At 41.8% G+C, this 23956-nt stretch overlaps 1 protein-coding gene across 10 annotated transcripts in view, besides 1 other annotated feature; it reads right to left on the bottom strand.

The window, feature by feature from the left end:
- Positions 1–23956, bottom strand: part of SNX24 (sorting nexin 24) — a 183706-nt gene that overhangs the window by 143301 nt on the left and 16449 nt on the right. The window lies entirely within an intron of this gene.
- Positions 22350–22644: a silencer, noted in NCBI's record as "tiled region #12893; K562 Repressive DNase matched - State 8:EnhW". NCBI's record gives its function as "represses a minimal TATA promoter and a strong SV40 promoter by Sharpr-MPRA in K562 cells {active_cell/tissue: K562}" and the evidence as "EXISTENCE:reporter gene assay evidence [ECO:0000049][PMID:27701403]".

The following is a 23956-nucleotide window of genomic DNA, read 5'->3' as shown; positions in this document are numbered from 1 at the left end:
CTGTGGCCTGTTAGGAACCAGCCACACAGCAGGTCGGATCAGCGGGGGCATTAGATTCTCATAGGAGCATGAACCCTACTGTGAACTGTGCATGCAAGGGATCTAGGGTGCACACTCCTTATGAGAATCTAACTAATGCCTGATGATCTGAGGTGGAACAGTTTCATCTCATCCCCCCTCCCCCGACCACCTGTCCATGGTTGGGGACCACTGCACTAGCACACACTATACTTGGTTTTATTTCAGTACCTTTGCTCTTATTTTTCCCAAGCCCAGAATCCTCCAAACCTCCATCCTTATTCCAAATCCACTGATTCTTTAACCTTAACTGGCTGCTCATCTGGGAAAGTCAGGGCCCAAAGGAAAGGAGGAGCTGCTTGGTCCAGAGTTAAGCTGGCAGACTGAGAATAGGCTGTAGGCCTTTCCACCCCAAATTCCTTAGAAATGACCCCAAATTCCTTAGAGATATAAGAATGGGTGCTTTCAGTACACCAAAAACTGTCACAGATAGTAAGGCATTAGAAGGGGGGAAAGGAGGAAGCCACCATTCTCAAAGCATGTACAAAAGAAGATGATACAAAAGTGAGGAGGGGCTGCCAGGGATTCCAAACCCAGAGATGGAAGACCGTGGAACACAGGAGGGGCCTGGGGCATTGAACAGTGTGCTCCCCTACCCCCACCTCACCCTACCTCATTGGCTAGGCTGTGGGCAACAGGTTTCTGCTCTAGAGGGAACACAGAGAATGAGCTTGGGGAGGAGAGGCAGGGAGGCAAGCAGGAAGGAAGCAACATCCAAGAAAAATGGGAAGCCCCCAATACAGAGGACTGGCTTTGGACACACCCCCACCCCACCTACACACCCAGCCTCCTTTCTTCCTTCCATTCTCACAGAGGCAGGAAGCTTCCCTAACCCCATTCAAGGCCAGCCCTCTGACTCTGCTTTTAAAATAACAAGATTTGACTTGTTTACTTCTAAACTGTTTATACCACTCTCATTTCAACATGTTCTTTTCCATAATAGCGTGCTTCTGAAATGGCCAACGGGTCCCTAAGAATACACGTGCCAATTTGGTACAATGGTCCTAAGCAGAAATGTTCGTACAAATGCATTTTGTTTTCCACAATGGAGGCATTTTTCTGACCAGCTGTGCATAAATCTTGAGCTCTCCATTCAGAGACTACATACCTTCTGCTAGAACAGGGGCTTCTCAACAGAGAGAAGCTGAGACGCTCTCCACTCTCGGCAACCACAGAGCACCCCCACTCCTCGACACCTATTATTTCACCCCACACATCTGCTCGTCTGTCAGAACCTTTCTCCTAATCCCTACCTGACACACCTTACAGTCTCTATTGCTTATTCTCTATTATTAAAGTTTAAGGTGAGTCAACTGCAGTTGGAACTGTAATTATAGAGTACAGATTTTATTGAGAGAAATACATTTTTTTTTATGTGATAAAGAAACAGGCTGGGTGTGCTGGCTCATACCTGTAATCCCAGCACTTTGTGAGGCCGAGGTGGGTGGATCACTTGAGACCAGGAGTTCAAGAGCCTCCAGCCTGGCCAGCATGGTGAAACCCCACCTTTACTAAAAATACAAAAATTAGCCAGAGGTGGTGGCGCATTCCACCCAACTATTCGGGAGTCTGAGGCAAGAGAATCGCTTGAACCAGGGAGGCGGAGGTTGCAGTGAGCCAAGATTGCACCACTGCACTCTAGCCTAGGCAACAGCGAGACTCTGTCTGAAAAAAAAAAAAAAAAAAAAGAAAAAGAAACAATTGAGGGTAATTATTCAAGGCAGCAATAAGTAGAGGAAAAAAATCCAGAATTCAAATCAGACTAACTGATTCCTACAGGAACCAAAGGAAAAGTTAGAAAATGTGTTTCATATCTGAGACTTCCAAATTCTAACTTTGTGAGTAAAACTGGATATTTATATATTCAATTGAATAAATCAAATAGTGTTTGCTAAATCTGTTTCTTCCGAAGAACCAATGGAATTATCACAGAAAATAGTCACCAATCCACTCAAGCAAAGTTCTAATTTAACAGTCAATGATGTGGCGAGGAGTACTGGCTCATGCCTGTAATCCCAACACTTTGAGAGACTAAGGTGAGAGGATTGCTTGAGCCCAGGAGTTCAATACCAGCTGGGCAATAGATTGAGAACCCATCTCCACCAAAAATTTTAAAAAATTAGCCAGGTGTGGTGGCGCATGCGTGCCTGCAGTCCCAGCTATTCCGGAGGGTAAGGTGGGAGGATCTCTTGAGCCCAGGAGTTCAAGCTTGCAGTGAGCTATAATTTTGTGCCACTGCACTCCAGCCTGGGTGACAGATCAAGATACTGTCTCGAAAAACAAAAAAAAAGAATAAATAATGTGACAACCCTGAGTAATACATTTCTGACAGTTTTAGAAGCTTACTGGCTCCAAGATAGTAACATTAACACCTTAAGGTAATGCAGACATTAATAGAAGTTCATAGAGTTATGGCAAAAGCTAACCATCACTAAAGCAACCAACGAAAGAAGTTTAAAATTTGAAAAGAAAAGAATGTAATGGTAATAGTATCTAGGAAGATATGCCATTTGTTCATTTCTGTTCAATAAATTTAACTATAATCATATATTAATAAATACAGAAAATGCTATTAATAATTGTATAAACAAAGAAGAAAGCCCTTAAATATGCAGAAATATAACTCATAGGGGACAATTTTGGCTTTAGTAGAAGTGCCATTAGGAGCAGTGATGTGGAGTGATTCTCAACCTTTCTTGGAGTCACAGATCTGAAAATCTGAAGGCCTCTGTGGAAACATGCACACACATACTATAAGATTCTGCGTGTAATTTCAAGATTAGAAACCCGTGTTAAAGAACAGTTATCTCCTTCTAAACCACTGACAATAGCTAGTTAAATGATTCTGAACAAATCTCCCTAGCCACGCTGATTCATCCACTGGCTCACTGCAGTACCTTGCTCTGTTTCTACTTTTGCTTTCTCTGTGGCTCTTTCCCTTGATCTGCTCCACCCATTCCTCCACTCAAGCCATTCTGTCTCCCTGCCCAGCTTTCTCCAATTCCTCTCCTACTCCCATTTTTCCCTATATATGCTCCCACCCCCATGTCCTTAACTGGTCTGATATGAAAATAAATCATATACTTGGGTGACCTAATTAACTAAATTTTTATGTTATTATTCATAATTTAAAAGCCAGTGAGCTGAAAAATTGACATTTACAGACAGAGATTGAGAGATTAATTGTAAGATTAAAAAAAGGAAAGGAGGAAAAAACAGTGTTTTTCAAGGGAAAAAATTATTTTATATCTGGCCCTTAATTTTTATCTCTATATTTTTTCCCATAGGTCCATACTAGGAAAAAATGACTGTGTCCCCACCTGTGACAATCAGGATGTTTCAAGACACAGAGAGCCCCAAGCATTCACAGTGGGTCCAGAACACAGAACAAAGAGATGAGGGCAGGAGCTCTGTGCTGTGCCAAGGCCGGAAGGCCTAGAGGGCTCTCTATCCAGAATCTGGCTGACACTGAGATGCGACCAAGTCCAATCTCCAAGAGTTAGGGGGTGGTACATTTTACACAACTCTCCAAGTAGCCAGCACTGTCTATGGCTCTACCATATACTCTAAATCACAACAGAAAGACGCTGTAGGAAAAAAGGCTAACAAGGTATGTGGGAAGGAGTAGAGGCATCCTAATGCTAAATTCAGCCACAGTTGGCTAAAGTTCATCTATAAAATTCAAAATTCAGTGTGTGTGGTGGCTCATGCCTATAATACCAGCATTTTGGGAGGCTGGGGTGGGAGAATCTCTTGAGGCAAGGAGTCGGAGACCAGCCTGGGCAACAGAGTCAGACTCTGTCTCTATAAAAAACTTAAAAATTAGTTGGGCATGGTGGCAAGCACCTATATTCCTAGCTACTCCAGAGGTCAAGGTGAGAGGATCACTTGAGCCCAGGAGTTTGTCACATTGCTGCAGTCCAGCCTGAGTGACAGAGTGGGACCTTGTCTCAAAAAAAAAAAAAAAATCCAACAAACAAAATTCATAATCCTTGTACCACAGAAATTATCTGCAGGTGAATTGTTTCACAATTAGACAAATGTTAATGCTTTTAAGGCAAAGTCCATGGAACCAACACTATATGACATCTTTAATTTACTATATGTTTTTTCTATGTCAGGTTCTATGTATACAGATAGAAGTATAGATAAAGATACTTATATTTATCATAATTTTATATATACATATTTATTTAATATATATGTATACCTAATTATATAATTTTATGTATATATAATTTTATTCAATCCTCACAATAACCATATGATGTAATTATAATCCCTACTCAGTAGATGAGGAATCTGAAGCTTAGCAGAATTGATCAAACTGCCCAGAGTCAAGCACGCTAAGTCAGAAAGACAGAATATCAACACAGATCTCTCTGACTCTAAAGCCTGTGCTCTAAGCCTGAGATCCTGAGCTTCTCAAACTTAAATGTGCGTATGAATCCCCTGGTCCGATTTTGCAGGTCTGGGATAGGGCCTGACAATCTGCATTTCTAACACACTCTCACCAATGCTGCTGATCCATACCACATTTTGAACAGTAAGGGACCAAATAAACCATTATATTAGACTAACTTCATTCATACAGCTGTCACTTCTGAAAGTTGAGTAAGTATACTGTCAGTAATATATCTCTAAAAAGGCAACTATTTTAAAGATAAAATGAACAACATATTTCCATATATTAAACTGTGAAATGTTTTTTAAAAAAAATCATAAAACATAACTCCATATATCCTATAACAAATTTTTAATGAAATTAAATGATTCTCCAATTTTTCTGCACACACTCCTGCTGTCTTTGGCCAGAAGAGTCTCTCCTGTGTCCCATGTCCAAACCAGCTGCATCCTGAGTTTCTACAAGGAAACCATCAGAATCTATTAAAATTACTGCACACTGATAGCAGCAGGGACATGACAAATCGCAGGCCAAGAGTCAGATACCACAGAATGTGTTTCAGGGCTTTGGGGGCAGGCCCATTTGCAACCAAATGATATTGTGTGAGGCTGGCATGCTCAGTGCATGACAAACGGATGCAATTTCGGTGCTGTCTGTGGGCCAGGGGAGATTTCTCTGATGCTGGTTGTGGTTAGTTTACAGAATTGTGCAGAGTTCCCAGATTTGAATCACCTGGGGCTTGAAAGGGCTTCACTTGACAAGCTACAAATAATTACACCCTACTCCTTCTATTGTACTCTATTATTTTGCCCCCTTTATCTCTAGGATTTGAGCTTTTGTGAACAAGCAAGGTCGGCTTCTATTTTGACCACAACACAAAACATTGTTCTTTTCTGATATGATAAATAAAATGAAGCCTTGCAGACTAAACATTTTTATCAGGTCCATTTTCCACTTTTATAGGCAACAATCAACTTTGCACTCAGTTAGAAGGGTTGAGCTGGACATAAGCAGGCAGGCAGGTTCATGCATCCTCACTTAGTGATGTGATCCAGCTATCTGGTTATTGTAAAAGCTCATTTGAAAAATGGGGCATTGACTAACAGATAAAGGGCATGTGGGCAGTAGCTTTTACAAGGTTTCTGCTTCCTTGGCCTCCTCTCCTCCACCCTCAGCCCCATTCTAACCACCTCTTCATTCGGATAATCTTAATGAAAAAGTTTTTCAAATGTGGGATGCAATTAGACAAAGCTGCCTTATGTCACTGGCACACGTCTCCGAAACACCAGTATCTCAGATTCAATTTGGCTATTCCATTTATGAAATATTTTAAAGAGTATATCTCCCATTCTAAGGCAGCTCCTAAGGATAATATATTGATCACTGCTTCACATATTTTAATTTGGTAAATGTGAAACTTTATGTGTGGTATTTCTTCAAAGTAAACAGAAGGTTGGAGGAAGCAGTTTTCTGCTTAAACTCAGACTTCAACATTCCATAAACGAGTCCTGGTCCTTAAACATTTTTTTGAAAAAATCTACAATGGTAATTAACACTGACTCAAAGTACCCTAAACATTTTCTTTTAAAATTTAACTTACTTGTTAAGCCTTAACTGTGGGTCAAGTATTGTTCTAAGTCATCTACATTCAGTTTTTGCAACAACCCTATAACATAGCTATAAAATGTCATTTAATTAAAATTTGTTATTACTGGCTGAGCTTGGTGGCTTCATGCCTGTAATCTCAGCACTTTGGGAGGCCAAGGCAGGACGATCACTTGAGCCCAGGAGTTTAAGACCAGCCTGGACAACATAGTGAGACCCTGTCTCTATTAAATACATACATACATACATACATACAAAAATTGATTAAATTTGTTATTACATCCTCATTTCAGAGATAAGGAAACTGAGGCACAGAGAGGTTAAGTAACTCACTCAATGTCTCACAGCTTGTAAGTGGTAGAGAGGGAAACTGAGTCTGAAGAGTTTGATTCAGGCCCCTTCAATACTGCCTCTTAATTCCACAGTTCCATTTACTTAAGGACAGGGCAACCACAAGAACAATATTCCTCAACTGAGCTGAAACCAAGAGCCTGGAGAGAACTCATGTTGACAGTGTAGACAAAAAATAGTGAGACTGTATTCTCGACAGGGGCTAAAGTTTGCGATTTCAGCTCCTGAAACAGGATACCTTTATTCTTGCCTCACTACATGTTTTGCTGAAAGTTGGACCCCTTCCTATTCTCTAAATCTGCCTTGTCCAACATAGCATAGCACTCGCCACATGCTGCTGTCAAGCATTTGAAACATGGCTGGTCCAAATGGAGATACCCTGTAAGTATAAAAACACCAAGTTTCAAAAAATTACTACAAAAATAACAAGTGGTCTCATTAATAATGTTTACACAGATTACATGTTAGAATAATACTTTGGATTTATTGCATTAAATCAAATATATTATTACAATTCATTTCACTTTTTTAATAGGGCCACTAAAAATTTTTAAATCTCTTTGTAGCTCACATTTGTGGCTTGCATTATATTTCTTTTTTTTAATTTTTAATTTTTTTTTTTTTTGAGACAGAGTCTTGCTCTGTCTGGATCACAGTTCATTGCAGCCTTGACCTCCTGGGCTCAAACGATCTTCCTTCCTCAGCCTCTTGAGTAGTGGGGATTACAGCTGTGTACCACCACACTCGGCTAATTTTTTATTCTTATTTTGTAGAGATGGGGTCTTGCTTATGTTGCCCAGGCTGGTCTCAAACTGCTGGCCTCAAGTAATCCTCCCACCTTGGTTTCCAAAGCATTTGGGATTACAGGCGTAAGCCACCACAAACGGTGAGCATTATATTTCTACGGGACTGCTCTAAATTCATCCCTTGATGTTTTTCCTGACAGGGAAAACAACTCCAAGAACAGCAGTTCACCTCCTGGGAAGCTTCATTCCCACCTCCACTTCCACTCTTCTCCCTTCAAAACTCTCAGATTTTTATGCTATTGACTCCATTCCTTGACCTTGAAGTACTCACTGTCTTTGGTCTGATTTACAAAAAGCCTTGACCTGACCCTGCTTTTCCTTCTTGCTCTTATGACTTCTCTCCCTCTTTTCATAGTCAAAGCATCTGGCAGGGTCCTCACTCTCTCCCAGCTTTCTTAATCCGCTGTAATCTGACTTCCATTTCCCACTGGCCCCTTCTCCACCTCATTCTCCTGACCTCTCTGCCCTCTCTAGAACCGCCACTGGGTCTCCAGAACCACACAACAGGCCTCCATTGAGCTGAGCACCAACCAGACACTTGGAAGGGAGGAAAGAATCTTACCACTTCTGTGAACAAAACAAGGAAGTGGCACCAACCTTCCCACTCCATTTTCCCACCCCGGGTCCCAAAAAGGAGGTTCTCTCATTATCTAGGAATAATTTCACTCAAGGCAGATGTGGCTCACTGCAGCTGTACTGGACCCTCCCAGGTCAGCCATCATTCCCTTGTGTGGATTCCTCAACAACTTGCTCCCTCAACACCTTGCCAGTCCAGGAAAAGCCAGATTCAGGTTGAGTCTCAAGCATCATCTGAACAGAGTGGACATCCGGCATGTGTAGTGGCCATCTTTCAAAGCATGGCCTGAGGGCTCCTGTCCATAGGAGCAGGACCACCAAGAGAGGAGTCCAGTGAGGAATCATCATTCATTGGCCTATTGGCTTGAAGACTCCACCAATGGAGAAAGGAGCAAACTCAGGCAGAATCAAAACTCTCACCATTGGCTACCAGAAGGAAGTGAAACTAGAACTAGCTTGGAAAGAAAAAACACAAGTTAACCAACTTCGGGTAGGGGATGGGATAGGCTTCCTGTAGGCAGAAGATCATGAGACACAGAGCATGGGCACCCCGGTCCTCCTGAAGCTGGGGAGTGGGTGGGTTGGTTCAGAGGTGCTGAGTAGAGAGTGAGGCAGAGATGAGAGAGAGGATACTAAATTTTATTTTTTATTTATCTTTTTATTTCAGCTACCAACTACAGTTTTCTAAAGCCCAGATATTCTTTTCAGAATCTCTCATGTCCATCCCATGCCACTGTCCCAGTCCACACCTTCATCCTGGACCACAGCCATAGTCCCATACCTGATTTCAATTAACCTCTTTGGAAACATTCTGCATACCAAGGTAAGTTCAATCAGCCTGGTTTCCTCATTTTCATATCACTTTGCTGTTCAGAAACTTCTGTACAGCCTTGTTTTCTTCACACAGTTATTGAGTTTCAGAGTTTCTGGCCCTATCCCCACCTAATGCAGATCGGAGAAATACCCTTGGCAGCCCCACTGACACTGCTTGAGTAATGTCAGTGACAGGGCATTCTCTCATCTCCACCCCTCCCCTGAAAGCAACTCATACATTCTCCCTACCAGAATGTGCCCTCCTCTCCCCAGTGCCCATCAAAAGTCTAAGGGTTAACTTTGACAGCTTCAACAATGGCAGATGCCCACCCTCCAGGAGGACAAAGAACAAAGGTAGTCCTCCTCAGGGACCTCCTCAATGTGGCTCTGCCCCATGTATCCAAAATATTTCCACTCTCTAACCACCACTGACCTCCTGCACACAGGACACTGCTCCCTTTCTATCGTCCATGATATAATGTTCATTTTATCTTTCTAACTTTACTGAGGGTGCGTTCCTTGACAAAGCCCTGTCCTTTCCACACACTTATTTAAATCCTACCTAGTCTTCAAAATGCAGCTTAAGCACCATCTCTTGCAGGAGGTCTTCCGGGTACTGCACTCCACTCCTCATTGATCTCATTTTCAAAATCTCCATTCAAAACAAGCTATTACCATAGGGCATTCATTATAGATCAACAAGTATTGTGTGATTTTGTGCAGAGCTAAACTAAAAACTCCTTGAGGTATAGAATCATACTTGATAGTTGTCAATGGCCTGTAGTAAGCACAAAGCAGACACTCAAAACACTTCACTTACTGGGTTATATTAATTATGCTACTTTATAACATAAACATAAACGCTTTGCTTCAATGTTGAAACTTTGTTGAGAGTAAGATCACAAGAGGTTAAATGGCACTTTTTAATATCTCCAGCTATTTTTAATGAAACTATTCCTTAAAATGAACTATCTTACAGCATTACCAATATATTAATTAAGCAATTAATCAGTTCAAAATATGATGCCTTCAAAAACTAATATTTTTCATTTTTATACGCTGACATTAATGGCCAATGAAAATGAATACATCTCTAGGCAAAGGCTGCTTTTAAAAACCCTTCCAAATCTAAAAAATTGTAAAATATATACACTTTCAAAATGTCAGTACTGTGGCCAGCTCAAAAACCTACTGCCTACCCATATTCATCTAAGAAAATCACTTGAAGAAAAGCAATGGGGCCAGGCGCTGTGACTCATGCCTGTAATCCTAGCACTTTGGGAGGCCAAGGCAGGTGGATCACTTGAGGTCAGGAGTTTGAGACCAGCCTGGCCAACATGGCAAAACCCCGTCTCTACTAAAAATACAAAAATTAGCCAGACGTGGTGGCGGACACCTGTAATCCCAGCTGTAGCTACAGTTGCTGGAATTATAGGCGCCCGCCACCATGCAGGGCTAATAAGGCCACTTGGGCGGCTGAGGCAAGAGAATCGCTTGAACCTGAGAGCAGAGGTTGCAGTGAGCCAAGACTGCACCATTGCACTCCAGCCTGGGCGCTAAGAGCAAGACTGTGTCTCAAAAAAATAAATAAATAAGTGTTCCTCATGTTTTGCTTGCCATAAAGAGGACTACCATTCTCCTCCTGCTTTTCAGACCTAGGATGGTAACAACTATTTGTTAGTATTAGGTTGGTACAAAAGTAATTGTGGTTTCTGCCACTGAAAGTAATGGCTTTACTTTTGCACCAACTTGATACGTGCCTTGCACTGTGCTAGGAACTTTTCATTTATTATCTCCATTACATGTTTCTCCTGAAAATGTCTGATGATACCACTCCCCCGTACAAAGGAGTACACTGAAGCATGTGGAGGCAAGTTAAGGTGAGAACCCAAGTCTGGCTTACTTCTGTTCTGCTGCACTCCTAGACTGCATAAGCCCCAAGCAAATTATGGTAAAATATTAAAGGAAGATTTCTTTAAAAGTGTGTATTTGTATGGGCTATCCATAGACACACACATTTTCCCCATAAACATGAAATCTTAATATCTGAGTTCTGTGGAATTCTGGGTAATCTTTTTTTATGGCATCATATTTTCCATTTGTTGAAATTATATCATTAATCAGTTTTAATACAGTGTCTCTACTGGGCACATATAAGAAATAATTCTGAACAGTTCATGGATAAAATAACTTAGGTCAAATTCTAATTCACCTCTATAAACCCAAAATCCCTTTGCCATACTGAAATTTCTATCAAATGTTTACTTGAAAGCATTAGTTTTGTTTTTGTTTGCTTTAGTGGTATAAGAACAGGAGAGGGGCTTATGGTATGAACTGTATTCAGATCATAAATCATATCCCATATAAGCCTAACTCAAGCACCTCTTTATAGAAATTCAAAATAACAATTTTAATTTTGAGAAACAAATATCAACACTAGCTACTACTGAACCAATTATGTGTTAAGGGCTTGGCATCTATTATTTCATTTGATTAAAACAATTCCTATTGGTTATGAAGCAGTTACCATTATCTCCATTGAAGGAAGCCAAGACTCAGAGCATTTATGCAACTGGTTACCATTCAACACATGGTTAGCCCGTGGTAGGGCCAGGGGCCTGTCCAGGTTTCCTCAACTCCAGAGTTCACTCTTCAACTACACTGCTACTTCCTTCCTCCCAAAAAGCTCAAGAACCTCCTTCTAAAAAGGTCAAGTTGCAGAATAAACATAACCCTAGCTTCTTTCTGATTCATAACAGCTGGCCCTAATGCTGTGTAGCTCAGTACCAGAACAAGTAAAATATGCCGCACATCGATCAGCACTCAAGGGATACACATCAATGTTCCTACTTGAACAATCCCACCTATTTAATGCTCCCACCTTGGTTAGCCAATATGTTAGACAACAAGGAAGCATGCTTAGAGTCCCCTCTGCCAGGATATCTCACCCAGCTGCTTTCCTATCTTTCACACAGCTTTCTTGATTGTATCAGTATCTGTCCTTCTGGGCAGGGACCAACCCAAGGTTGTGAAAGCAGGCCCAGTAACATCAGCTGATCCTCACTTAGCTAAACGTAATCTGAGGTAGGCATTTCACATGCATTATTTCATTTAATCTTGGCAATGACTCTTTGGGGTTGCATACTAATTGTAACCCTTTTTTAAGATAAGGAAACTGAGGCTAATAATTTGTTCATATTTAATCTTGCTAACGTAACTGTATTTATATAGTAATATCTCCATGGAGCAATACAGGATGAGCTGATTTAACTACTGCTCCACTGTACACTGTGTTCACAAATAAAAAGAATCCTGGCTGGGTATGGTGGCTCACGCCAATAATCCCAGCATTGTGGGAGGCCAGGGCGGGTGGATCACATGAGGTCAGGAGTTCAAGACCAGGCTGGACAACATGGTGAAATCCCATCTCTACTAAAAATACACAAAAAAATTAGCCAGACGTGGTGGCCGGTGCCTGTAACCCCAGCTACTCAGGAGGCTGAGGCAGGAGAATCGCTTGAACTTGGGAGGTGGAAGTTGCAGTAAGCCGAGATTGCGCCATTGCACTCCAGCCTGGGTGACAAGAGTGAAACTCCATCTCAAAAAAAAAAAAAAAAAAAAAAGATTCCCTTTGAAAGATGAAAGAGAGTGCTGGCATTTCTTCAAAAGAAAACTACCGAAAGTGATGGCACCTCCAGGGCTCAGTACAGTGCCTGGTAAAATTCAGGCCTTCAAAAACCATTCGTTAAATAAATGAATCTAAGTAAATATTGGAGCTGATGAAATTGTGCCTCACACTCCACACCTCTGTGCCTTCACCCAGCCCTCATCTACTGCCACCTCTTACAGCTCCTGCCTGGCACTTCTGCCTGACTGTCCCTGCCAGCCCTCTCTTCAGGCCCTACCAAGGACCCAGCATGCAAACATGCTCACAGCAAATCACATAAACTCTGAGCTAAATTTCCAATTAAACAGACTGCCTGCCTCCCCACGCAGGCATTTAGAATTATCTAGGCCACAGAAAGATCAGCTTCATAGAATTTTTCTAGACCCAGAACTCACAGAAGAAGCAAACCCTGACTGCAAAAACAGCTTCAAAAACAAAACTCTGGACTGGGTATGGTCTCATGCCGGAAATCCCAGCACTTTGGTAGGCTGAGGTAGGCAGATTACTCAAGCCCGGGAGTTTGAGACCACCCAGGTCAACATGGCAAAACCCCGTCTCTAGAAAAAAATACAAAAAATAAAATTAGCCAGGCATGGTGGTGTGGTGCCTTTAGTCCCAGCTGCTCAGGAGACTGAGGCAGGTGGACCTATTAAGCCTGGAAGGTCGAGGTTGCAGTGAGCTATGATCGCACCACTGCACCCCAGCCAGGGTGACAGAACAAAACCCTGTCTCAAAAACCAAAAACCAAAAAACTAACCTCTGGGTTAAAATGATGTTCATTAAAACTGGCCTCATCTGAACCTGAACGAACACTGATAGGAGTCAAAATTCTACTTCTGCTTAGAGCAAAGCACTGAACAGTGAATGGGTCTCGGTGGGAACTGGCCCCATTCCACCGCCAGCTAGAGCTGTATACTGTGATACAGTCGGCCCTCAGTATCTGTGGGTTCTGCATCCACAGATTCAACCGACTGTGAATAGAAAACAAAAGGGAAAAAAAACTGAATGTATACAGACTTTCTTTTGTTCATTATTCCCCAAATAATATATAACAACCCTTTACATAGCATTTACATTGTATTAGGTATTTAAGTAGTCCAGAGATGATTTAAAGTACACAGGAGAATGTGCATAGTTTATATGCAAATACTAGGCCATTTTATATCAGGGACCTGAGCATTCACAGATTTTCATATCATCGTGGAGTCCTGGAACCAATCCCCCACGGATACTGAGGGATGGCCGTACTTACAAATTCAGGATTGGTTCTTTGGCCTATCCTAAAAAGAACTTTTTATAAACGGAGAAAGTAGGAAAACAATACAAGGTTTTCCCAGAGAATACCACTAGGAGCCTACAGCACAGAAAGGTAGTTGGAATATTCTGTGATCAATAAATAGCTGTTAATAATTGGTTTAACCAAAGAATCACCATTATTCATTTGTTCTTAAATATGAAGTGGCTGGGACACTAGAGATGTTATTCTCCAATTTAAAAGCGCTGCAGGGATCTTTTGATATACTGCTTTTATAAAAACTTAAAGCAGTGAATTAAATATGCAATCATTCAAAAGTGAGAAAAAAAGAAAAATTCTCATACTAGATGAAAGGAAGGTAAAATATATGATGATGTATTAACTCCAACTAGCAAAAATGTCTTTAGAAGTATCAGAAATAACAATAGCTGCTCCACATTGTGAGTTCTTTGTGCCTGGTATGATGATCCTTACAAGAAATCCTTACAGAAGATCCTTACGAGAAAAGGGAATAATTATTTTAAGGAATGCAGCTCAGGGAAGTTAAATGACTTGCACAAGTTCCCTGACTAGTCACGATGCCAGAATGTGGAATCAAGTCTATCTGGCTCCAAAACTTAACAATGACACTCCTTAGAACTTCCTCGAGCAGGATGAGGTCAGAAAAGCTTTTTTTGTTTGTTTGTTTTTTGAGACAGAGTTTCACTTTTGTCACCCAAGCTGGAGTGCAATGGCGTGATCTCCGCTCACTGCAACCTCCGCCTCCCACGTTCAAGTGATTCTCCTGCCTCAGCCTCCCGAGTAGCTGGGATTACAGGCGCATGTCACCACACCCGGCTAATTTTTTGTATTTTTAGTAGAGACGGGGGTTTCACCATGTTAGCCAGGCTGGTCTCGAACTCCTGACCTCAAGTGATCCACCCACCTCCGCCTCCCAAAGTGTTGGGATTACAGGCGTGAGCCACCGCGCCCAGCCAGAAAAGCTTTTCTTAAGTTCATTTGTTTATAAGCCACTCCTAGATGCACTTTTGCGGAATCAGAATGTGAACCAGCCCTTTAAAGCTTTAAAACAAAGCTGATGCTTCTCCTTTATGCTAAATATACACTCTACAGGGCATCTTTTCCACAACAGGGAAGCTATCTACCCTACAATCTGCAGGCTTAGCTACAAATTAAAATCACCTGGAGAGTTTTTAAACAGTACCAGAGCCTGAGCCCCTATTGCATGAGAATCTCTGGGGACAAAACTTGAAAATTTGTGTTTTTAAGTGTTCCCTGAGAACTACTGAACTAACTTATTAATAATATGTGCTGGGGCAAGTAATCTACCTTAATAAACTCCAAAAGCATCCTGGAGACATCTTCAGTGCAGTAGTTCTCACCTTCCACTGTTCATAACAATCACCCAGGGACCTTTAGAAAATTCTGATGCTCAATCCATACCCCAAGACCATCAGATTCTCTGAGGGTGGGCCCCAGGCATCAGTAGTTTGTAAAGCTCTCCAGGTGATGCTAGTGTGCAGCAAGGGATGAGCACCATGGTTTTAGCAGACAACGACGTGCACCAGAAGCCCAAACCCTCCTTTGCTGGTGTTCCAATGTGCCATCCACCAGCAGCACCACCACATCAACAGCCTTTTTCTCAAACTCCCTGCCTTCTCCCTTAGGGTCAGGCACCTGAAGTGGTGCTAACACCTGAAGTTTTTCCATGTCTCAGGCACTTCCCCCAACTCCCTGCACACGTGCATGCCCGCTTACAAGAAATGCTGCATGAGTCTCCCCTCTGTCCTAAAGAATCATTCCTATGATTGGATGATTCATTCCACATGCACACGCGTTTGTCATTCTTCCACCACTTTCCATTTTATTATCTCCACTTCCGTTTCTCTCTTATTAGCATTTTTAACTGTCACTACTTTTGCAGCCATGGACAATATGCTGTTCTGAATACACTAAACTTAGGTACAAAGCTGCAGGCTAAGGAACAACACTGAAACTAAGGGTCATTGGCTGAAACTAAGCTGACATCTCAGGCCCACTGCTATTCACTAGATGTGGGCAGGGTTGAGGTCTTTCTGTTCTGGAGAGCAGCTCTGTTTACATCTGTAGAAGTTCATCATACAAAGTTTTGAAGCAGCGGAGCTTCCTGCTGCTTTTTGATTACTTACAGCTCCTCGGGATGCAAAGCTCAAAAGATTATCCTAAATTTCCAAGGCACACATTTTGAATAACAACAAAGATCTTTAGGTTGATAGAGACTAAAAAGCTTTGTACATCTCCATTCTAAAGTTCTGAATTATATGAAAATTCTCACATGAGGCCTAGATGAAAAACATTCTATACTACAAGCAAAATGCTTTTTACTCAACAATATTTAAATCCAAAAGAAGCAGCATTCAGGGTGAAGACATTCTCCAAAAGGGCAAATCAGGTGTTGATTAAAGTTTCCCTAAAAGTTATACTACTTTGTACTACTAATGAATGGCTGACAAAGTTAATCCATGGCATCACCCTGCAAACAATCCTCCAACCATGTACAAACAACATCAGTAAAAAAAAAAAAACTCATAGCACTAAGAAATGCATTTGCCTGATAAAGTAGTTCTGTACTAGGTAAGACTTAGTCCATTACTGCTTTTTTCAATGCTATCTCAGATTATTTCTGCAAAACTATCAATGGAAAAAACACAGACAATGAATTCAGAGTCTACGATGGAAAAAGCAGATTTGATTTCCATACAAATTATGAGATAAAGCGTAGCAATAATATATTCCAATAATTTTTATGAAAAAGATCAAGATTTCTGACATTTTAAATAAGCTCACCACTAATATCCTAAGTTAATTTCAATCCTGTTCATAATCATTGGTATTTAAGAAGAAATTTCAGGATAATATTTAAAAGTTAATTAAAAGCAGCATAAGCATTCATGTCAGTCAAGCATGACCTCTGCTCTACAACACATTTAAATGCATGTCACCTTGACCTGTAACACAGCAATGTAAAAAATTTTGGTCAATATAAATCAAATGTACACTAATTTATTCAGCAGGTTTCCTGGTATCTGAATCAACGTCAGAAATCTAACCAGTATTTGTTATTCTGTTATTGACAAAAGGAAGCATATTTAAATGATAACAAGTACTCATGGGTGTCATTTGGAAGTTAAATTGTTCCCCAAGGACAGCCTCCATAAACAGCTACATTTAAAGGTCATTTACCACCAAATTATGAACAACTGTTGCATTTATTAGCTCAGGCTCAATAGTTTGGAAGCTGCAGTCATCAATTTCTACTGACAATGAGATCTAATTGTTCACCGATAATAAACAAGGAAAACAGAGCTTTTCTATAAACTTTTATCCTGCACTATATTCACATTTTAAAAATTTGGTTGCACACTTTCCACAGGTATGCATTTATTATTTCCAACTGCAAATAAATATCAGATAATAAAATGTAAAAACGTTTCTCATTTTATATTTATCTGAACAAAATGAAGAAAAACACTACGATGTTTATGAAGGAAGAGTACGTTTCACTTTTGGAAGGTGGTACAATAATTAATTTTATGTGTCTACTTGACTGAGCCATTGGGTGCCCAGATATTCAGTCAAACATTCTGGGTGTTTCTGTAAGAGTGTTTTTGGATGAGACGCAGATTTAATCCTATAGGCTGAGTGAAGAACATTATGATTCATAATGTGAGTGGACCTCTTTGAATCTCGGAGGCAACATATTCCTCATTTGGGTGTGTTACTCCTGCCCATTTATCAAGTGACTTGAAAAGATTCTAGTTTTGAGTGGGTCCCAGAATATGGATAGGCTCTGCAATAGGTCCAAGCTGCCATGCAAACTGCTCTGCCACTTCGGCCATATGATCCAGCAGATCCAATGGTGCCTGAAGTATCCGTGGCAGATACGGATGTTGTTTGGAGTCTCTGGCAGGTTGCTATAGGTTAAGTGCAATGCTGGTTCTTAGAATTTTGGAGCAAAGCCCTGCCTACCTCTATGAATAACCACTCTACTTTTGAGAAACAGCGCTTACCCTGCTACTGGGTCTTAGTAGTGACTGAATGCTTAACCATGGGCCACCAAGTTACCATGTGACCTAAGCTGGCCATCATGAACAGTGTGTTATCTGACCCATCAAGCTATAAAGTTGGGCATGATCAGCAGCACTCCATCATCAAATGGAAATAGTATATATGAGATGAACCCAAGCAGGCCCTAAAGGCACAAGTAAGTTACAGGAAGAGGTAGCCCACATGCCATAGTCCCTAATCCAGCTACACTGCCTTCTCTCTCCCAGTCTGCACCTATGGCCCCATGGAGAGTTCCCTATGATCATTCTGACAGAGGTTTACGATGGTTCTACATGATATACAGGTATTAACTGGAAGTGCACAGCTGCAGTACACTGTCCCTCTCTGGGATATCTTTGAAGCAAAGTGGTGAAGAGAAATCCTCCCTGTGGACAGAACTTCAAGCAGTACATTTGATTGTAAACTTTCCTTGGAAGGAGAAATGGCCAGACATGTGATTACACAACAATTCAGGGGCTGTGGCCAATGGTCTGAATGGATGGTCAGGGACTTGGAAGGAATACGACTTGGAAGACCATGTCTTCCAAGAATACCTACATGGAAGACCTCTCTAAACAGTAAATGACAAAAAACTGTGAAGGTATTTGTGTCTCATGTGAATGCCCACCAAAGGGTGATCTCAGCAGAGGAGGATTTTAATAATCATGAGGATTTGAATAAAATGACTCCTTCTGTGCCTACAAGTCAGCCTCTTTCCCCAGTCACCACTGTCATCACACAAATGGGCTCATAAAGTAGCCATGGTGGCAGGAATAGAGGTTATGCACAGGCTCAGAAATATGGACTTCCACTCACCAAAGCCAACCTGGCTACAGCCACTGCAGAGCACCCAATCTGCCAGGAGCAGAGATCAACACTGAGGCCCCAATATGGCACCATTCCATATTGGGAATGATCAGCCAGACACCTGACAGCAGGTTGACTACAATGGATTGCTTCCATCATGAAAGGGGCAGAGTTTTGTCCTTACTGGAATACACATTTACTCTGGATACAGACTTGCCTTCCCTGCACACAATGCTTCTGCCAGAACTATCATCCCTGGACTTACAGGATACTGTATCCACTGCCATGGAACTGATTTCATAGCAAATGAAGTGAGGCAATGGTCCCATGCTCATGGAATTCACTGGGCTTACCATATTCCCCATCATCCTGAAACAGCTGGCTTGGTAGAATGATGGAATGGCCTTTTGAAGACTCAGTTACAGTGCTAGCTAAGTTGCAATACTTTGCAGGGCTGGGTCAAGTTTCTTCCCAAGGCTATATATGCTCTCAATCAACATATAATATATAGTGCTGTTTCTCCCATAGCCAGGATTGATAGGTCCAGGAATCAAGGGGTAGAAATGGGAATAGCACCACTCACCATTACCCCCAGTGACCCACTAGCAAAATGTTTGCTTCCTGTCCCCAGGACTTTATGCTCTGCTGGCCTAGAGGTCATAGTTCCATAGTGAGGAATGCTTCCATCAGGAGACACAACAATGATTCTGATGAAATGAAAGCTAAGGCTGTTGCCTAGCCACTTTATGCTCATGTCTTTAAATCAACAGGCAAAAATGGGAGTTACTGTGCCATGTATTGCTCTGCTATGTACTGGCTGGGGTGACTGATCCTGCCTACCAAAAGGAAACTGGACTACTACTCCACAACAGAGGTAAGGATCTCCTGTCTGGAATATGGCAGATCCCTTCAAGCATAGTATTAATATTACTGTACCCTGTAATTAAAGTCAATGAAAAAAACTGCAGCAACCCAATTCAGGCAGGACTACTAATAGCCCAGACCCTTCAGGAATGAAGGTTTGAGTGACCTACCAGGTAAAGAAACACAACCGGCGGAGGTGCTTGCTGAAGGCAAATGGAATATGGAATGGGTAGAGGTATTTATAAATACCAGTTATGGCAGGGCGTGGTGGCTCACACCTGTAATCCCAGCACTTTGGCACGCTGAGGTGAGCAGATCACTTGAGTTCAGGAGCTCCAGACCAGCCTGGCCAATATGGTGAAACCCCAACTCTACTAAAAATACAAAAATTAGCCAGCATGGTGGCACTCACCTGTAATAACAGCTACTCAGGAGGCTGAGGCAGGAGAACTGCTTGAACCTGGGAGGTGGTGGTTGCAGTGAGCTGAGATCTCGCCACTGCACCCCAGCCTGGGTGACAGAGCAAGACTCTTGTTATTCATTCATTCATAAATAAACAATGCCAGCTATGACCACACAACCAGTGACAGAAATTAAGATTGAATTGTCATGAGTATTTCCTCCTTATTTTGTTACAAAAATATGTATGTATATACAGCAAACAAATATCTTTGTTTTCTTCTCTCTTAACCCCTTATCATGTAGCATATGATGTATTGACTTTATGTCATAATATTTATGTATTATTAACTTTATGTCATCATATTTAAATCATCAGATATCAAGAAGAGTAAACATCACTCAAGGATTCTACCTTCTCTTCTAGGGAAGGAGTTAGTGTATTTGGGGTTATAGGATGGATGTATCATGTGAGGTAGAATTATGAAATTGTTATTATCTTTATTTGGAGAATAAAGACAGTATTTGATCCCCAAATTAGAACTTCCAACTTGCAGTCTCACCAATAGTGTGTTAGAGAACCTGCCTCCTCTCACCTCCATCCTCATCATGACTGGTTTTTATCAATCTTTTCCATTTTGCCTATTGAATTAAAAAGCAAGCAAGTGGCTGGGCACGGTGGCTCATGCCTGTAATTCCAGTACTTTGGGAGGCCAAGGCGGGTGGATCACCTGAGGTCCAAAGTTCGAGACCAGCCTGGCCAACATGATGAAACCTCATCTCTACTACTCTACTAAAAATACAAAAATTAGCCGGGCATGGTGGTGTGCACCTGTAATCCCAGCTACTCAGGAGGCTGAGGCACGAGAATCACTTGAACCCGGGAGGCAGAGATTGCAGTGAGCCAAGATCGTGCCATTGCACTCTAGCCTGGGCAACAGAGCAAGATTCAGTCTCAAAAAATATAAATACATAAAAATAAATAAAAAGCAAGCAAACAAACAAATCTTATTTTACTTTGCCTTTCTTTAATTAAGTATGGTTTAAGGAAATGTGTATGAATACCAAGTTGATAGGGAGTAGGCTTTTCATGCTTAATTTTATGTGACAACTTCAGTGGGCCACAGGGTGCCCAGATATTTGGTCAAACATTTCAAACTAAGCACCTGTGAAATGGTACTTCAGAACCTGCTCTACCCACAGTCTTCTCCTTAGTAAACAATGCCATCATTCTGAAACTGCCTTTGCAAAAGTATGGCTGAGACAGTGAAAGAGATCTAACTTAACTGACTCCATCTTGCTTCCAACCTCCAAGCTGTCCTTGTTCATTCCTGAGTGCAGGCTGACCTAACCTTGGGAGGAACTTAGTCTACAGTTTATAGTTTAAAACAAAGACGATAACAGCCCTTTCCCAAAGCAAACCTCCTTCTTGCCTGGGGACTATACTGCCTTTGTAGGACTAAGAAATTAGCCACAAGATTAGAAATTATGGTTTAGGAGTCATGCAGCTGGAGGCTGCAAGATTCTGCCCTCCCTAAGCTGCTCCTAAGATCAGTGCTTAAGATATTTTGCAGACCCCGCACTTGATAGATCAGCTGGCACCACCCACATCGATAAACTGGCTCATCTGATCTTGTGGCCCCCACCCAGGAACTGACTCAGTGCAAGAAAACAGCTTTGACTCCCTATGACTTCGTCTCTGACATGACCAATCAGCACTCCTGGCTCACTGACGTCTCCCCACCCACTAAATTGTCCTTAAAACTCATCACTGAATGTTTGGGGAGATTGATTTGAGTAATAATAAAACTCTAGTTTCCTGCACAGCAGGCTCTTGTGAATTACTCTTTCTCTGTTGCGGTTCCCCTGTCTTGATAAATCGGCTCAGCCTAGGCAGCAGGAAAGGTGAACCCATTGGGCGGTTACAATTCTTCCCTTTTTTCAGGCTAAAAACCTTGGGAGTCACCCTTGTTCGTCACTTTTTCTCATGCCCCAAATCTAATCCATCAGTGGATCCTATGGCCTCAATCACCAAGAGCTATCAGGAATCCAACCATCTTCCAACACTTCCTTCTACAGAACTAACATGTTGTTCTAAGCCATCATCATCTTTTACTTGGGATACTATAGTAGCTTCCTGAGCTTCCTAACTGCAGCACTCTTCCTTATAGTTTATTCTCCACACTAAAATGGGAGTAATTCTTTTAAGACATGACTCATGTAACCAATAGGTAAGTTCCACAAAGGGAGGGATTTTCATTTACATTTTTTGCTACTGTGTCCTTGGCATCTAGAACAGTTCCTGGCACATGATTGGTGATCAATAAATACTGAATCATGTCGCTCCTCTGCCTCCTACTTCCCAAAGTAAAAGCCAACATGGGCTGGGAACAGTGCCACTGAATCACGTCGCTCCTCTGCCTCCTACTTCCCAAAGTAAAAGCCAACATGGGCTAGGTACGGTGCCTCATGCCTGTAATCCCAAAACTTTGGGAGGCCAAGGTGGGATGATCCCTTTAGCCTAGGGCTTTGAGACCAGCCTTGGCAACACAGTGAGACCCCACCTCTACAAAAAATAAAAAATTAGCCAGGTGTGATAGCATGCGTCCATGGTCCTAGCTGCTTGGGAGGCTGTGCCTCCTGAGCATCAAGTGATCCTGCTGGAGGATCACTTCAGCCTGGGGCATTAAGGCTGCAGCAAGTCATGATTGCACCACTGCACTCCAGCTTGGGCCACAAAGTAAGACCTTGTCTCCTCCCACCTCAAAAAAAAAAAAGAAAAAAGAAAAGCCAACGTCCTTATTGCTGCCTACCAGACCTATGCTCTGCCCTCCCACCCCACCATTCCATCTCCCATTATTTCCCCCACCACACTATATATGACCTTATCTCTTATCACTCTCTATTTTCCTACTGCATTCCAAACCCACTGGATCCTTTCTATTCCTAAAACACACTATGCACACTTCCACTTCATGTCCTTTGCACATACTGCTCCTTCTGCCTAAAAGACATTTCCCTTGGATAACCTCATGACTCACCCCCTCACCTCCTTCAGGTCCCGGTTCCAATGTTGCCTTCCCAGGGAAGGATTCTCTGATGATCCCCCAGCACTCTTTACCTCTCTTCCTTTCTTTTTCTCCATAGTGCTTACAACTATCTAAGATACTATATTTAATTTAATTATCATGTTTACTCTTACTCTCCCCCAACTAGAATGCAAGCTCCTTGAAGGTAGAGAATTTTGATTGTTTTGTTCATTACTGTATCCCCAGAGGGAGATTAGTATGCCTGCCACTTAATAGGTAGATAAATATTTGCTAAATAAGTAGATGACTTGTTTTCATTTTCTCTTGACATTGTAAACAATGCTACAATGAACTTTATATGTATATCTTTATGAATTTATGGATACAGACTAAAAAGTGGGAAGGTTGTTTCAAAGGGTATATAAATATCTTATCTAATATATACTGCCAAATTGACCTCCAAAATAGAGCTTCCAACTTTCAGTCTCACCAATAGTGTGTTAGAGAACCTGTCTCCTCTCACCTCCATCCTCAAAAGGACTGGTTTTTATCAATCTCTTCCATTTTGCCTATTGAATTAAAAAAAAAAAACATGCCTTGTTTTACATTGGGTTTCTTTAATTACTGGTGAAATTGACTATCTTTCCTTCCTTTCTCTTTTTTTTTTTTTTTTTTGAGACAGAGTCTTGCTCTGTTGCCCAGGCTGGAGTGCAGTGGCGCAATCTCGGCTCACTGCAAGCTCTGCCTCCTGGGTTCACGCCATTCTCCTGCCTCAGCCTCCCCAGTAGCTGGGACTACAGGCGCCGCCACCACGTACTTTTTTTTCGGAGAGACGGGGTTTCACCTTGTTAGCCAGGATGGTCTCGATCTCCTGACCTCGTGATCCGCCTGCCTCGGCCTCCCAAAGTGCTGGGATTACAGGCGCCAGCCACTGAGCCCAGCCTCTTTCTTTTTTTTCTTTTGTCACTTGTACCCCTGATGTTTCTCTCCCCTTAACAAAACCAAACAAAAAACCACTCCCTACTCATGGCTGCTTCCAGACCATACTTTTAGCTGGGGATCTTCAGTCCCACTGTAACCACTCAACCTAATTCTTTAAGCTCCAACCCCAGTACGTGTCCCTCCTTACCAACTATCCACACTTCTTACCCTTCTCCATACAATTCCCTGAGCCTAAAATGATTTCCCTCCCTTTCTCAAACTGGCAAACTTCCA

The sequence above is a fragment of the Homo sapiens genome, chromosome 5, assembly GCF_000001405.40.
Source record: "Homo sapiens chromosome 5, GRCh38.p14 Primary Assembly".
In the NCBI taxonomy this organism is placed as follows: domain Eukaryota; kingdom Metazoa; phylum Chordata; class Mammalia; order Primates; family Hominidae; genus Homo; species Homo sapiens.
Note: the sequence above shows the minus strand (reverse complement) of the source record. Positions and strands in the feature narration are given on the sequence as shown.